Source organism: Homo sapiens, chromosome 13 (genome assembly GCF_000001405.40).
Source record: "Homo sapiens chromosome 13, GRCh38.p14 Primary Assembly".
NCBI lineage: Eukaryota > Metazoa > Chordata > Mammalia > Primates > Hominidae > Homo > Homo sapiens.
The window spans coordinates 36936617-36953983 of record NC_000013.11 but is presented as its reverse complement, the minus strand read 5'-3'; the positions used below and the strand labels follow the sequence as shown (position 1 = coordinate 36953983).

Genomic DNA, 17367 nt, shown 5'->3' with positions numbered 1-17367 from the left:
CTGATATCCTTAGAAATAATATATAATAATCTTTTTCAGGTTATCAAGTATCATTAGAACTAACTCAGCCCACTAGCTAATATTTTGTTTTTGTGTTAAAAGGAAAGTTAAGGGTAAAGCACCAGGCTTAATATTGAAATTATTTCTTTTTTCATAAGTATCACAATTCTAGGGGACGAAAGTTTTAAAATACAACCCACTTTTGTAAGTGGTTTTATCATAATACTTGGAATTTAAACTATTTACCTAATGGATGATTATGGTATTGTGGCAAAAAACCAAAAAATCTCCCAAATTCAAGTTGTCTGGGATTGGAGAAATCAAATATAAGTGGACTTTAGGCATTTTCTTGTCTGTATTAATAATGTTTTACACCAGGCCCTAGAAGTTTGAACTGTGCTCTGTGCAGCCTAGAAAGTGGGGACTGACTCATGGATGAAGGCAAAACAGTCAAGGACTTTAGACAGTTTCAATGACGATGAAGAAGATTTAACAGGTAGTAGTGCTTTTCTTCCTGAGCTTTAATACCAGTGAGAGAAGCAACTAGTTCAGAGAAATTTTGTAAGCAGAATCCAGGAAAACTTATGAGTCAGGATTCAGAACCTTTAAGGAAAGCAGGTTTGACCTAAGCCAAGGCACTGACTGAAAAGAGGCTTTAAGAAAGACCTTTCGTAAGTGGAAGGAAGGATACACTGGAGATTTAGACTGGAAATGGTTTTAACAGTATATATTAGGACAAGTAAGACAATATATCAGATTCCTATGTATGTATTAATTATACCCAAAGAGTATTTCAGACTAGTCCAAAGTAGCTTTTTACTTTCAATAGTTGCCAGTATTATATTGTGCAGGACACCACAGGGAAGGGGAACAGAAAAGACAAGGAAGGCCCTGGGGACACTATTAGAAAAGTAATCTGGATCCTCTGATGGTAGAAGAAAATAGGCAACCAACTCTAAAGTAATGTAAAACAGTCTCAACTAGAGCATCTCAGAGTTTTGTTTTATCAGCTGTCTGAATCAGTTGAAAATGTCAGTTCTTTACCTTGAGCTAGTCCAGTTAAGGTTAGGATTGAAAACCATCAATCTTGAAATTTTCCAGGATTAAATTTTTTCTTGGAACCCATGAGGCTAGTTTTACCTCTGTGAGTTTCTGAGTTGTAATAGAGATACAATATTATGCAATGATATTCTAAATTATTATTTGACTTGAAACTTCTGAACTACTCAGCTTTGAATTATTTGATTTCTGTGAATCTGATCTTCAGATTTATGGTATAAGCTTTATATCTGCCATGTAAGCTTCTTTAAAACATGCCAAGGTAGAGATGTAGTTGTGTTCTATTTGTCTTTAAAAATAAATATCAATATATTTTCTATTTTAGGGCATTTGATGTAGAACTACTGTACATAGCACAGTTCTTTAAAATTCCAATAGCAGAAATTGCTGTCAACTGGACAGAAATTGAAGGTGAGTATATTGTTTATTGTATGATTGTCTTGAGTCAGATAATACAGTTGTTTAGTAAAGTCAGCTGGCTTTAATGTTCTCCTTGCTCCCCTCATCAAGCCCTTCTCAGCTGTCTTGACTCAAAGATCCAGTTCCAAGGAGAATAGTACCTACTAATACCTTCCATCTGGCTTGCTGCCTTTTATATTTTTTGTCTGTTCATGGGGCCTTCAGTAGGCCTACTACCTTGTCGAAGAAACTTCAATAAAACTTCCTACAATAGACAAAGTCATGGTGATCTGAAATTAGAAGGTTGATAGTCTTTTGAGATAGATAAATTTATTTTTTGCATCACCATTTCCTATATTTTTTTTATCACTAGGTGGATATTAATTAGGTACCTGCAAACCACTATGCAAAGCTAAATAAGAAATAAAAATTTTTTTTATGGCCGAGCACCATGCCTCATGCCTGTAATCCCAGCACTTTCGGAGACCGAGGGGGTGGATCACCTAAGGTCAGGAGTTCAAGACCAGTCTGGCCAACAGGGTGAAACCCCGTCTTTACTAAAAAATACAAAAAGATGGCCGGGCGTGGTGTCAGGCACCTGTAATCCCAGCTAGTCAGGAGTCTGAGGCAGAAGAATTGCTTGAACCCGAGAGGCAAAGGTTGCGGTGAGCCAAGATTGCACCATTGCACTCCCGCCTGGGCAACGAGTGAAACTCCATCTGAAAAAATAAATAACTAAAAGTGTTTTTACTCCAAATGTCCACAGTCAATCCAGAGCCATTTAAAAACTATATCTGTACATATATCCAAAAGTATAAAGATCCCAACTCTATAATAACTTGAAATCTATCATAAATCTTAATAATTCCTATTTTAAAAGGCTTAGACAGCTCTGGCTGTATAGAATTTTAAACATATTCTAGTTTTCTCCTTACCTTAGAATGAACCTAAATTAATTCACAGTGTGGGAGCAGTTAACATAATCAACTGGAGACTTTTTCGAAGTCCAGCTCTTCTGGTGAGAGTCCTTGTTGCAGTAAACCATTATTGCTCTGTAACCTCAGATGTTTAGGGACAGAAAAAGGTTAAGAACCAATCTCGAGATTATACAAACTGTATAGTCTAGGATGAATTCAAACCTCTTTACATCTTGCTGAATCAAACTGAGTTTACAAAATCTTAGCTCATCTCCACAGTAGCTGCCTAGAATCAAAGGGGATTGGGAAGCAGGTCAAAGGATCACTCAGGGGTATCATGATCAACTTTGTTGATTTGTGTTGATCTTTGGCCAACCTAGACTCTATGGGAAGATGAGGTGGGGAAAAGTAAAAGTCCATTTTATGTTTAGTCATTTGCTTATTTGCATTACAGAGATAGTTGTCTTGTAATATGAATTGTAGGTACCTCAACTTCCTCATTTGTGGGATGAAGATAATTTTTGGCCCTGATAAACGATAATGTCTCTACAGTGCTTTGGTGGTAATGTTTTCAGAAGAAAGCTGTCATATAAATTCAGAGCAGTGAAAAAGGTCTTCTTTAAATATAAAGTATAATTAAAATGATAATGAAATGTTAAACCTTCCTCCTGATACTTTATCTGCACGTATATACTATAAGTAATGGTTATAAGAATCTGCTGTGGCTGGGTGCAGTCACTCATGCCTGTAATCCCAGCACTTTGGGAGCCTAAGTTGGGAGGATCACTTGAGCCTAGGAGTTTGAGACCAGCCTGGGCAACACAGTGAGACCTCATCTCTATAAAAAAATTGTAAAATTAGGCAGGTGTGGTGCGTGCCTCCTGTACTCCCAGCTACTGGGGAGGCTGAGGTAGGAGGACTGGATCGTTTGAGCCCGGGAGGTCAAGGTTACAGTGAGCCATAATCGTGTCACTGCACTACAGCCTGGGTGACAGAGCAAGATCTTGTTTAAAAAAAAAACAAAAAAAGAATCTGCTGTGATATGTGGATCAGATATTTAATTAGGCTGGTGTTCTTGTGTAGCCCGAGACAAAGAGGTCTGGACAAAATTATCTTAAGTCTGATCATAGGCTTTATTTTTTATCATTAAGATTGGATTTATGTAGAAATAATCATATTTATCTGTTGTGCTGTATCTTTAGTTGTTTCATATGTAATTATTTTCAGTAATGAGCACTCAGTGAGTAGTTTTTTTATTAGACTTCTAGAGCCCTCACCATATGTAGTCCTTCCTTTCTATAGTAGGGCCGTATGAAATTTTCACTATTTAGATCCTCTCAAGTTTCATTTCACTTCAAGATGTTCTGTTTTTGTTTTTAGAGAAAACCACTCCACTCACTTCAGCTTTGAAATTGTTTAACTTTTTGGTCCATGATTTAAAAAATTAAGGTGCTAAAGGCTCACAACGATCATGTAGACTGACTTTAAACTGATACGTTTTCTGCTGAGTTTATTTAAGCTAATTTGTTTTTAATTATTTTTAAATCACAGGTTCTAAATTAGTTCCATTCTGGAGCTGGCTACAAATGGGTAAAGACCTACTTTTTATACGACTTCGATATTTGACTGGTGCCTGGAGGCTTGAGCAAACTCGGAAAATGAATTAGGTTGTTTGCAGTCTTCAGTTGTGTTCTTATGCTTCAGTGTCACATTTCATTTCATTTGAAACTAAAATTTTAAGTAAAGCTGAAATAAACTTCTTGTCATTGTCTGCCTTTTGATAATTTTAAAGAAATAACTTTCCATAAGTAAAAAATTATATATCTCTTTGGATATAAATGATTTTTAAAAGATGTTTATTTAAAAAGTCAGATTTTCTTTTGTTTGTTTAGCTTCATTATCATTATAATTCTGAGAAACATAATTTTTGTAGACAGAAGCTATTCTTACCCTAAAGTGCCTGCATAACTCTCATGAACTTAACTATAAACTACAATCATGTAACAGTTTTCAGAGATTTAAAAATAAAGCTAGGGTATAAGTTTAAATGTACATAAATTTATCCAAATCAAAGAAACCTATTTCAGCCTATGAAACTTTAGGAAATTATATGTTAAAGGCAAGAATACAGACTTAGTCACAAAGGTGTTCATTTCCTTATAGTCTTACTCATCTCTAGCACTGGAGGCCAAGGTGGGAGGATCACCTGAGCCCAGAAGTTCAAGGTTACAGTGAGCTATGATCGTGCCACTGCACTCTAGCATGGATGATGGAGGGAGTTCCTGTCAATCAATTTTATAATATTAATATATTTACATAGTAACATCAGAAGCCTCTTTGAGATACTGCAAGAACTAATAGCAATTACAAAATAATGAACCCCCAAAATCAGAATTAGATTGTTTCTGCCATCTTAGAGAAACAAACTAGTAACAGTTTGACATTTATTAAGTGTTTACTGTATGCCACCCACTGTTCTAAGCACTTGATATATAATGACTCACAACAGAAGAGGAAACTGAAGCACAAAACGGTGACCTGCCCAAGGTCACATATTTAGGAAAGAGTGGAGTCATGATTGTAACCTGCATAGTCTGGATCCCAAGCCCACACTCGTTAATGACGGCTATAGTCTTCAGTTTCTGAAGGTATGAAAACTGGGGATCATATAAGTAGAAAGTTTTGGCAGTACATTGAATAAAACATTTTTGAGTAGAAAAGTAAGCTAAAAATAACTCCAGTAGTTTGAACAACAGCGATAATATCACATCTGCAGTAGACAATAAGCTTCTTGAAAATAGAAGGCTTGCCGGGCACGGTGGCTCATGCCTGTAATTCCAGCACTTTGGGAGGCCGAGGCAGGCAGATCACCTGAGATCGGGAGTTCAAGACCAGCCTGACCAACATGGAGAAACCCCGTCTCTACTAAAAATACAAAATTAGCTGGGGTGGTGGTGCATGCCTGTAATCCCATCTACTTGGGAGGCTGAGGCAGGAGAATCGCCTGAAGTCGCGAGGCAGAGGTTGCGGTGAGCCGAGATTGCGCCATTGCACTCCGGCCTAGGCAATAAGAGTGAAACTCTGTCTCAAAAAAAAAAAAAACAGAAGGCATGTCTTACTACAATTAGTATCTCCAGCACAGGGCTTAGCATATAGTAAACACTTAATAATGATGAGATGAATAAACTTTATTTACTACCAGATTTTGTGAGCATTAAAGTCACTTAAATGGATAAATCAAGAATAATAGAAAGCAAAGAGAAGAAAAGACCATGCTCATAAGAATTTTTAAGAATAAGCCTTGAGCCAAAAATAAGATCCTTAATGAAATTATAAAAAGGCAATGAAATAATTTGTTATTGCTCTTTATAAACGAGATAGAAATGCATATTTGAAGCATAATAGGAATATTGAAGGAAAGTCACGATACTTTTTATGTACTTTGTCTGTGAACACTGTAGGGAAAAGTCTGATATCATTGATGCCAGCTTACCTTTCTAAGCACAGATTTACCTAAGAGGAATATGGGACAGAATCTGAGGCAATCAGAGAGAAAAGGTAGTTTAACCTGTTAACTTACAGAATCTGCTAACAAAAACTACATGCAGCAATAGCAGAGTGAAATAGCAAAATAACAGCTACTATGTTTTTTGTTTTTTTTTTTTTTTGAGATGAAGTCTTGCTCTTGTCCCCCAGGCTGGAGTGCAATGGCACGATCTCAGCTCACTGCAACCGCCGCCTCCTGGGTTAAAGCGATTCTCCTGCTTCAGCCTCCCGAGTAGCTGGGATTACAGGTGCCTGCCACCATGCCCGGCTAATTTTTTGTATTTTTAGTAGAGATGGGGTTTCACCATGTTGGCCAGGCTGGTCTCGAACTCCTGACCTCAGATGATCCCCCTGCTTTGGCCTCCCAAAGTGTTGGGATTACAGGTGTGAGCCACTGCACCCGGCCACCAGCTACTATCCTTATAGTATGTACAAGGAAGAGTAATGAACATTTTGCATGCATTATGTGGTTTGATCAAACAACTCTATCATGCAGGTATAATTACCCGCATTTCACAGAACGAAGTAGCCAAATAATTTGCCCAGGGTTACACAAGTAGCCATTATTCATGCTTCTACTGAAATAAAAAATAGGAAACAAAGGAACATGGAGCATGATTAAAACAGTATAACCTGAGGATCCTCAGACAACTTGGCCATGTCTATGTCAAGTCTTCTCACTTGTTCTTATAGAATAAGATATATATGAAACTTATTTGACTTGAGGGTCACATATGGACAATAATGTCTCTTGACATCTGTAATCCTCTATCTCCATATAGTTATGTATGGTTGACCCTTGAATAACACAGGTTTGAACTGCACAGATCCACTTATACATGGATTGTTTTCAAAAAGTGTATTGAAAAAGTTTTTGGGGATCTGTGAAAATTTGAAATAGCAACAGGAGGTTGCTGTAAAATTATAGTAGTAAATGATAGACTAATATCTACATGTATTTTATGCATTAATGACATAACCTTTTAATATCTTTCATACTATCAAAGACTTTGATATTAGTCTATAATTTACTATATAAAATACACGTGAATCTATTCAGAGATTTATCAAAATTTATGCATACGTAGACCATACATATCCAGTTGAGAAATTTAAACAAAGATGCAGTATTAGGCTGTGCGCGGTGGCTCACACCTGTAATCCCATCACTTTGAGAGGCCAAGGTGGGTGGATCACCTGAGGTCAGGAGTTCGAAACCAGCCTGGCCAACATGGTGAAACCCCATCTCTACTAAAAATACAAAAATTAGCTGGGCATGGTGGCAGGTGCCTGTAATCCCAGCTACTTGGGAGGCTGAGGCAGGAAAATCACTTGGGGAGGTGGAGGTTGCAGTGAGCCAAGATCACGCCACTGCACTCCAGCCTGGGTGACATGAGTGAGACTCCGTCTCAAAAAAAAAAAATGCAGTATTAAATCATAACTGCATAAAATTAATAATTTCGTAGCCACCTCCTGTTGCTATTGCATGAGCTCAGGTGTTGTAAATATCCACTTATATGCTGTGTGACACTAACCATCTCCATATGAGCAGTTCATCTCTCCAGTAAATTGCATATAACAGTAGAAATTGAGCTCTTGGAGTTCTCATGTGTTTTTCATGTTTAGTGCAATACTGTAAACCTTGAATAACACCATGGGACCGATATGAAGTACCATTAGTAATGCTGGAAATACTCCCAAGAAGCAGAGAAAAGTCATGACATTACAAGAAAAAGTTGAATTGCTTGATATGTACCATAGATGAGGGCTGCAGCTGAGGTTGCTCACCATTTCAAGATAAATGAATCCAAGCCAGGCATGGTAGCTCATGCCTATAATCCCAGCACTTTGGGAGGCCGAGGCAGGCGGATCACCTGAGGTAGTTCAAGACCAGCTTGGCCATCATTGTGAAACCCCATCTCTACTAAAAATACAAGAATTCGCCAGGCGTGGTGGCGGGTGCCTGTAATCCCAGCTACTTGGGAGACTGAGGCACAAGACTCACTTGAACCCGGAAGAGGGAGGTTGCAGCAAACCGAGATTGCACCACTGCACTCCAACCTAGGTGACAGAGCGAGACTGTCTCAAAAAAATAAATAAATAGTGTAAGGACTATTGGGGAAAAAAAAAAGAAAATTTGTGAATCCATTGCCACTACTACATCTGCAGGTACAAAAATCTTGCAATTTTTGCAAAATACCTTTTCTCTCATATTGAAAATGCAGCTTTTAAGTGGGTACAGGATTGCTATAAGAAAGACATACCTATAGACTCTAATATGATTCACAAAAAGGCAAAGTCATCATATGACAAGTTAAAGGAAGGTGAAGGATCTAAAGCTGGGGAATTTAATGCCAGAAATGAATGGTTCATTTTAGAGGTTTGGCTTTTAAAAAAAAAGTCAAGATAAGGGAGAAGCAGCTTCTGCTGATCCAGGAGGTAACACACGAGTTCCCAAACACCATTAAGAAAATCATTGAGGAGAAAGGATATCTGCCTAAACAGGTTTTTAATGCAGACGAAAGTGCCCTAATCTGGGGGGTGGGGGGGTGGAATGCCACAAAGGACATTTATTAGGAAGAGAAGCAAGCACCAGGATTTAAGGCAGGAAGAAACAGGCTAACTGCTGTTTTGTACAAATGCAATCGGGTTTATGATCAGGACTGCCCTTATCTGTAAAGCTGCTAAATCCTGAAAGGAAATGATAAACATCAGCTCCCAGTCTTCTGGTTGTACAAGGAGGCCTGGACAATGATACCCCTTTCTCTGGATTGCCTGCATTGATGTTCTGTCCCTGAAGTCAAAAAGTACCCTGCCAGTGAGAAATTGCCTTTTAAGGTTCTTTTGACATTGGACAATGCCCCTGATCACCCAGAACGTCATGAGTTCAACACGGAAGGCTTAGCAGTTGTCTACTTGCCCCCAAACACAATGTCTCTAATTCAGCCTTTACATCAGGGAGTCATAGGACCTTGAAGGCTCATTACACACAGTTCTCTATAGAAAGGATTGTCAATGCTAGAACAAAAGCCCAACAGGACATGAAAGGCTGGAAGGGGTTGGGGTCTGGTGGCTCACGTCTGTAATCCCAGCACTTTGGGAGGCCGAGGTGGGAGGATCACTTGAGGTCAGGAGTTCAATACCAGCCTGGGCAACATAACAAGATCCCATCTCTACAAAAAAATTAAAAAATTAGCTGGGCATGGTGGTTGGTGCAGCCAGTAGTCCTCACTACTCGGGAGGCTGAGGATGGAGGACTGCCTGAGCCCAGGAGTTTGGGGCTGTGGTGAGCTGTCATCACACCACTGCACTCCAGCCTGGGGAACAGAGCAAGACCCTGTCTCTCAAAAAAAAAAAAAAAAAGTCTGAAAGAATTATACCATTGAAGATGCAAGCCATCGTTATAGAAAAATAAAAGCTGTGAAAGTCACCAAGTATGAAACAATAATTCCTGCAGAAAACTGTGTCCAGATGTTGTGCATGACTTCACAGGATTTATGACAGAGCCAATCAAAGAAATCATGAAAGAGATTGTGGATAGGGCAAAAAAAAAAAGATGGCAGGTGAACAGTTTTGAGATATGGATGTTGGAGAAATTCAACAGGTAATAGAGACAACACCAGTGGAGTTAGCAGAAGATGACTTGATGAAGATGAGTGCTTCTGAACCAGTGCCAGATGATGCAGAAGAAGACATACAAGAAGCAGGACTCCAATTATTGAAGTCTGCTTGTGACTTCTTTTACAACTTGGACCCTTCCACAATATGGGCACTGAAACTAAAGCAAATGGTAGAAGAAGGATTGGTACTGTAGAGAAACATTTTTAGAGAAATGAAAAAAAATCAGACCAGAATTATGATATATTAATATTTCCATGAAGTCACACCAAGGGTGCCTGCCTCTCCTGCCTCCCCTTCCACCTCCTCCACCTCTTCTGCCTCTGTCACCTGGGAGACAGCAAGACCAACCCCTCCTCTTACTCCTCAGCCAACTCAATGTGAAGACAAGAATGAAGGCCTTTATGACGACTCACTTCCACTTAATGAATGTTAAATATATTTTCTCTTACTTATGGTTTTCTTAATAACATTTTCTTTTCTCTAGCATACTTTATTGTAAGAACGCAATATATAATACATATAATTTAGGAAATATGTGTTAATACACTATGTTATCGGTAAAGTTTCCAGTCAATAGCAGGCTATTAGTAGTTAAGTTTTGAGGGAGTCAAAGTTAATGGATTATCAACTACACAGGGGTTAGCACTCCAAACCCCTGCATCGTTCAGGGGTGCACTGTACTTCTACTCGTAGTTGATTCTCCAGTTCTATGTTCCACCTTCTTTATTCAGTTATTTTATTAGTCCTTTCTCAGATTGCTATAAAGAACTACCTGAGACTGAGTAATTTATTTAAAAAAAAAAAAAGAGGTTTAATTGACTCATAGTTCCACAGGTGTACAGGAAGCATAACTGAGGAGGCCTCAGGAAACTTACAATCATGGCAGAAGGTGAAGGGCCTCAGGAAACTTACAATCATGGCAGAAGGTGAAGGGCCTCAGGAAACTTACAATCATGTCTGGAGAAGGAGGAAAAGAGCAAACGGAGAGGCGCCATACACTTTTAAACATCCATGTCTCTTGAGAATTCACTCACTATCATGAGAACAGCAAGGGGAAAATCTACCACTAAGATCCAATCATCTGCCACCAGGTCCCTCCTCCAACACTAGGGATTACAATTTGACATGAGATTTGGGTGGGGACACAAAACTAAACCATATCAGTTATAATTTCCTTAAGAGCAGAAACTTTGCCTTTATTTTATTTGTTTGTCTCTACAGCATCCTAAATTGTGATTGTTCAATAAAGGAAATGGTTAGATAATGCTACCATTTCAATTCACTCATCGAAAAAATAATTCTATGAACGAGATTATCCATTTTATTGACAATTAAATCCCCTGAAGAAGAAGTCTAGAGGACTGCTTTGTTTTTGTTTTTGTGCAGTCTCAAAAATGCTTTGATTGTGTTTTTGTGCAGTTTTTTGTTTGTTTTTGTGCAGTCTCAAAAGTGCCAAATCCACAAATTGATAAATTTATTTTGTTAATCCAATAATAGACTCTAATAAGTGATATCTTTTTGATTCGCTGATTTTGAAGTAAAACTCCAGTTAGTATTTTGATGGTCACAAAACATAATACTTTACCTAGATTTGATCCTGTCTAAATTCTGATAGTACTGAGAAAGGACAAAGGGGAACAAAAGAGGTCCTTACCTGAGCAGTATCACAATGCACCTCAAAAATACTGCTGGGGCCAGGCGCGGTGGCTCACGCCTATAATCCCAGCATTTTGGGAGGCAGAGGCGGGTAAATCACTTGAGGTCAAGAGTTTGAGACCAGCCTGGTCAACATGGCAAAACCCTGTCTCTACTAAAAATACAAAAATTAGCCGGGCCTGGTGGTGGGCACCTGTAATCTCAGCTACTCGGGATGCTGACGCAGGAAAATCACTTGAACCCGGGGGATGAAGGTTGCAGTGAGCCAAGATCATGCCACTTCACTCCAACCTGGGTGAAAGAGCGAAACTCCATCTCAAAAAAAAAAAAAAAAAAAAAAAGACCAAAAATACTGCTGGGGAAAACAAAGTCATAAGGTCTATATCTCTGACCCATTAATATTACAGTAACAACATGTACCTCTGTGCAGGGTAGATGAATGTCACTGCAGCTTTTTCTATCATCGCAGAAATAGTAAAACCTAGGGCCCCAAAGCTATAGTAATTGCAAAACATGTCCCAACTCTCCAGTGGTGTGAATTTATTTAAATCTTTTGAAATAAAATTGTAAGGAAAATAAAAGTCCTTAACATCGCACTATATACACTATGAAGTGTAAGTCCTTCCATCATCCACTCAATGATTGAATGCCTAGCAGTTCTACTTTAAAAAAATGTCTATTCTCGAGGGATCTACTTAGAAAGAAAGGAATATGTTAAACATTTAAATTGCAATGCAAATAATATGAGATCAAGAAGCCAGATATGTTCTGAGGAAGGATGAATCTTTGCAGTCTAAAATTAGGAAAATTTCCCCTAAATTGTTGCATCTCTATGGGACTCCGCATGCACAATGCACAACTACAATGTAAGTAAAATCACCTCCATCTGGGAAGATAGTTTATATACTGTCAGTTCCTTTTGATCTTTGTCATTCTTTTTCGTTTTTTGCCTTTTTTTTTTTTTTTGAGACGGAGCCTTGCTCTGTCTCCCCTGCTAGAGTGCAGTGGTGTGATCTCAGCTCACTGCAATCTCCTGGGTTCAAGCGGTTCTCCTGCCTCAGCCTCCCAAGTAGCTGGAACTACAGGCACGTGCCACCATGCCTGGCTAATTTTTGTATTTTTAGTAGAGACGGGGTTTCATCATGTTGGTCAGGCTGGTCTCAAACTCCTGACCTCAGATGATCCGCCCATCTTGGCCTCCCAAAGTGCTGGGATTACAGGCGTGAGCCACCATGCCCAGCCTGATCTTTGTCAATCTTCTGAAACAGGATAGCAATCCTACACATTTATATTTTACATTGTATTTTTTGAGATCTATAGAAATGTTTTCTTATGAATTTTAGTGAAAGGGCCAGTTGAATCATGATAATTATATGATGAGGAAAAAAACAAGTAAAGTAAGGAATTCCACTTTTGTGAAGACAGAGTAGTAGATGTAATTTCCCCTATTCCTCCTACTAAGTACAACTAAAAACACTGGACATTATATATACAACAAACATAATTATACTCTGAAAGGTGAAAAGAAGAAGGCAAACTGGCTAGGGAACTTGAGGCCCAAGGAATGACATAAAGGTGAGTTCCTTGTTTTTTGTTTGTTTGTTTTTGTTTTTTGTTTGTTTTGTTTGTTTGTTTGTCTCTTATATCCCAGACTTGAAGCTGAAGCTGGCAACCTGGAAATGCCAATGGACATGGACAAAAAGAAAAAGACCCAATAAATGCCTCTCTTGCCAAAAGACCGAGAAAGGGGCAGGCTTACAAGACAAAAAAACATTTAGACAAGAACTATTCTACTCCAACCAATACTACAGAAAAGTGGTGGCCACTCCCCAACTGATACCAGCAAAGACTGAGCGGGGAGACAACTCAAATTCTAATGAGGCTGTAATTAGTCACCAAACACCCCACTGGGGTGATGTCAGAGAAGACAAGTAGGGTGCAGGACTTTTATCCCTGCTAGCCTGTAATGAGTCCTCCACTCCTATGATACCAGTGGAGACCATCAGGGAGGTGTGGTCTTCACCCCTACCCGGCAGTAACAAGTGTTTATTGGGGTGGTGTCAGAGGAGGCCAAGCAGAGAGTTAGTCATGTGTCAGAGTAGGTTTTGTTTCTCTCGTGGCCCAGTGGTGATGAGGCTGCCCCCATCACAGTGACAGTGAAGACCTTGTAGTAAGCCAGACCTCTCACCCCTGCCCAACACCAGTAGTAGTCCTCCTCTCTGGTGTCAGTAGAGACCTAGTGGGGCATCTGTACTTACACCTCTACCTGGCAATGGAGTGGTATCAGGAAAAGCCAGCTAAAACAAAAGGTTCAAATAAGACCCAGAGTCTCCAAACATTTAGAAATCCAGATTTAAAAGGAAATCACTTATCAAACCAAGAACCAAGTAAACTCACTTGAATAAAAAAGGATAATCAATAGATGCCAATAATAAGATTATAGAGATAATAGAATTATCTGGCCAAGATTTTTTTAAAGCAGCCATGACAAAACAGTTTCAATGTAATTGCAAACGTTCTTAAAGCAAATGAAGAAAATAGAAAGCCTCAGCAAATAAATAGAAGTATAAAGAAGAACCAAGTGGAAATTTTAGAACTTAAAAATAGAATAACTGAAATGAAAAGCTCAGTGAATGAACTTGATAGTGGAATGAAGGGGACAGAGGAAACAATCAGTAAACTAGAAGATAGAACAATCTGATCAAAAGAGAGAAAATTGAACAAAAAATACAGAACCTCAAAAACTTGTGAGACTATATATAAAAAAGATCTAGCATTTGTGTCATTAGAATCCCTGAAAGGCTGAAAAAATACTTGAAGAAATATTGACTGAAAACTTCCCAAACTTGACAATAGATGAAAACCTACAGGTTCAGCTGTTAATAGGATCAACCCAAAGATATCCACACCAAAACACATCATACTTAAACTGCTGAAAACCAATGACACTTTATTTATCAGAAGAAAACCATTAGAATGACAGATAATTAATTTATCATCAGAAATCATGGTGATCAGAAGGACATGTCATAATATTTTTCCATTGCTAAAAGAAAGAAACTATTAACGGAGAATCCTATACTTAGCAAAAAAAATAATAATTCAAGAATGAAAGGGAAATCAAAACATTCTCAGAGGAAAGAAAGTTAACGGAATTTAATACCCACAGACCTACTGTGAAAGAATGGCTAAGCAAAATTCTCTAAATAGAAAGGAGACAATAAAAAAGGGAACCTTGGCTAGTTTCTAAGGATCATGAGCGAGTCAGGATTCCTGATCCAGAGACAATGGCCCTGATGGGATGGAGCCTGAGGGCATCATCGAGAGTAACTGGAATGAGATTGTTGACAGCTTTGATGACATGAGCTTCTCGGAGTCCCTCCTCTGTGGCACCTATGCCCATGGTTTTGGGAAGCCCTCTGACATCCAGCAGTGAGCCATTCTACCTTGACCAAGGGTTATGATGTGATCGCTCAAGCCCAATCTGGGACTGCGAAAATGGCCACATTTGCCATATTGATTCTGCAGCAGATTGAATTAGATCTAAAGGCCACCCAGGCCTTGGTCCTAGCACCTACTCGAGAATTGGCTTAGCAGATACAGAAGGTGATCACGGCACTGGGAGACTACATGGGTGTCTCCTGTCATGCCTGTATTAGGTGCATCAACATGTGTGCTAAGGTACAGAAACTGCAGATGGAAGCTCCCCATATCATCATGGGTACCCCTGGCCGTGTGTCTGACATGCTTAACTGGAGATATCTGTCTCCTAAATACATCAAGATGTTTGTACTGGACGAAGCTGACGAAATGTTAAGCCATAGATTCAAGGACCAGATCTGTGACATATTCCAAATGCTCAATAGCAACACCCAGGTAGTTTTGCTGTCAGCTACAATTCCTTCTGATGTACTTGAGGTGACCAAGAAGTTCATGAGGGACCCCATTCGGATTCTTGTCAAGAAGGAAGAGTTAACCCTGAAGGGTATCCACCAATTATACATCAACGTGGAACAAAAGGAGTGGAAGCTGGACACAACTGTGTGACTTGAATGAAACCCTGACCATCACCCAGGCAGTCATCTTCATCAACACCTGAAGGAAGGAGGACTGGCTAACCCAGAAGATGCATGCCCAAGATTTTACTGTCTCTGCCATGCATGGAGATATGGACCAAAAGGAACGAGATGTGGTCATGAGGGAGTATCGTTCTGGCTCTAGCAGAGTTTTGATTACCACTGACCTGCTGCCCAGAGGCATTGATGTGCAGCAGCTTTCTTTAGTCATCAACTACGACCCTCCCACGAACAGGGAAAACTATATCCACAGAATCGGTCGAGGTGGACAGTTTGGCCATAAAGGTGTGGCTATTAACATGGTGGCAGAAGACAAGAGGACTCTTTGAGACATTGAGATCTTCTACAACACCTCCATTGAGGAAATGCCCCTCAATGTTGCTGACCTCACCTAAGGGGTTGTCCTGCTTCCCAGCCCCAGCCAGGGTTCAGTCTCGAGGGGCTGAGGAGCAGCAGGGGTGGGGAGGGAAGGGGAGCCAAGGGATGGACATCTTGTCATTTTTTTTCTTTGAATAAATGTCACTTTTTGAGGCAAAAGAAGGAAACGTGAACATTTTAGACACCCTTTTCTTTGGGGTAGGCCCTTGCCCCAGGCACCAGCCCTTCTCCCAAAAATCACTAATCCATTTCCCCAATCTAGTAACCTCCAGATCCCAGAGAGAGCACACTCCTCACCTCAGCTGACCTCCTTTGAAAGTGATTCGAGGGACTATGTCACTCAACCTCATTTTCTGGACCAAATCTGGAGGGAGAACCCCTAAAACTCCTGAGTAAGGTTGCCAGGGGATTGTCCCCAGGTAGGGGGAAGCAGGGAACAGAAAATGGTAGCCATGTTTACATTGTGTTGTATAGCATTTATTGATTCAGGAAACAAATGCAAAATTCTAAATAAAATGTCTTAGAAACTGCCAAAAAACCAAAAAGGGAACCTTGAAACATCAGGGAGAAAGAAGGCATATGGTAAACTAAAATAAATAAATAAACTTTCCTTCTCCTTTTGAGTTTTAAAAATTGATTGTGGAAGCAAAAATTGTAACACTGATGTAGTTTTAAACGTATGCAGAGGACGTATATTAGATTGTTATAAATGAGGGAAGGTAAAGGGAGAAAAACAGATATGTTTCTATACTTCTCTCCAACTGGTAAAATAACACCAGTAAAATGTGATGAGTTATGTATAATGTAATACCTAGAGAAATCACGAAAAAGCTATATAAATAGATATACTCAAAAACACTATGAATAAACAAAAATTGAATTCTAAAAATTGTTCATCTAACCACAGGATGGCAGAAAAAGAAAACAGAAATATAAAACAAAACAGAAGGCCAGACATGATGGCTTATGTGTGTAATCCCAGCACTTCAGAAGGCTGTGGCTGGAGGATTGCTTGAGACTAGGAGTTTGAGACTAGCCTGATCAACATAGTGACACCCCATCTCAATAAAAATAAATAAATAAATAAAATAGCCAGGCTTGGTGGCATGCACCTGTAGCCCCAGCTACTTGGGAGGCTGAGGCAAGAAGATGACTTCAGCCCAGGAGTTGAGGTGCAGTGAGCCATGATTGCACCACTGCACTCCAGCTTGGGTGACAGAGTAAGACCCTATTTCAAAAAAAGAAAAGACAAACAAAACCCAGACATAAAACAAGCAAAAGTAATGACAGATTTAAGCCTTAAGCATATCAAGAATATATTACATTAAATATAACTAATCTAAATTCAAGTAAAAGAGATTAGCAGAGAGTATTTAAAAACATGACCTAACTCTATGCTGTCTACAAGAAACTCACTACAAATATAAGAATATAAGCAGGTTGAAAGTATAAAATGGAAAAAGATATCATACAAACTTTAATCAAAGGAAAGCAGGAGTGGCTATTATAATATCAGATAAAAGACTTTATATCAAACAAATTACTAGACTCAGAGTGGGATATTATGTAGTAAAAAAGATTCAATCCACCAAGAAAACATAGAAATCAAGTGTGCGTGTCCCAAACAACAGATCTGCAAAATGCATGAGGCAAAACGGACACAAGTGCAAGGAAAAACAGATGAATTATAGTTGGAGATTTCAATACTTCTCTCT

General features: G+C 39.1%; 1 protein-coding gene and 1 pseudogene across 3 annotated transcripts in view; both read left to right on the top strand.

Moving 5' to 3' along the window:
• The window catches only part of ALG5 (ALG5 dolichyl-phosphate beta-glucosyltransferase), a 49630-nt gene extending 45384 nt beyond the window's left edge, over positions 1-4246 (top strand). For 2 of the 3 annotated variants that reach the window (NM_013338.5, XM_047430283.1), the window contains 2 exons: positions 1385-1470; positions 3927-4246. In NM_013338.5, the coding sequence (NP_037470.1) occupies positions 1385-1470; positions 3927-4042 (202 nt within the window). In that variant the 3' untranslated portion in view covers positions 4043-4246. The remainder of the gene's footprint in view (positions 1-1384; positions 1471-3926) is intronic. The other variant, NM_001142364.1, reaches the window with a different exon arrangement.
• On the top strand, positions 14438-15869 carry EIF4A1P5 (eukaryotic translation initiation factor 4A1 pseudogene 5; annotated as a pseudogene).
• The last annotated feature ends 1498 nt before the right edge of the window (positions 15870-17367 follow it).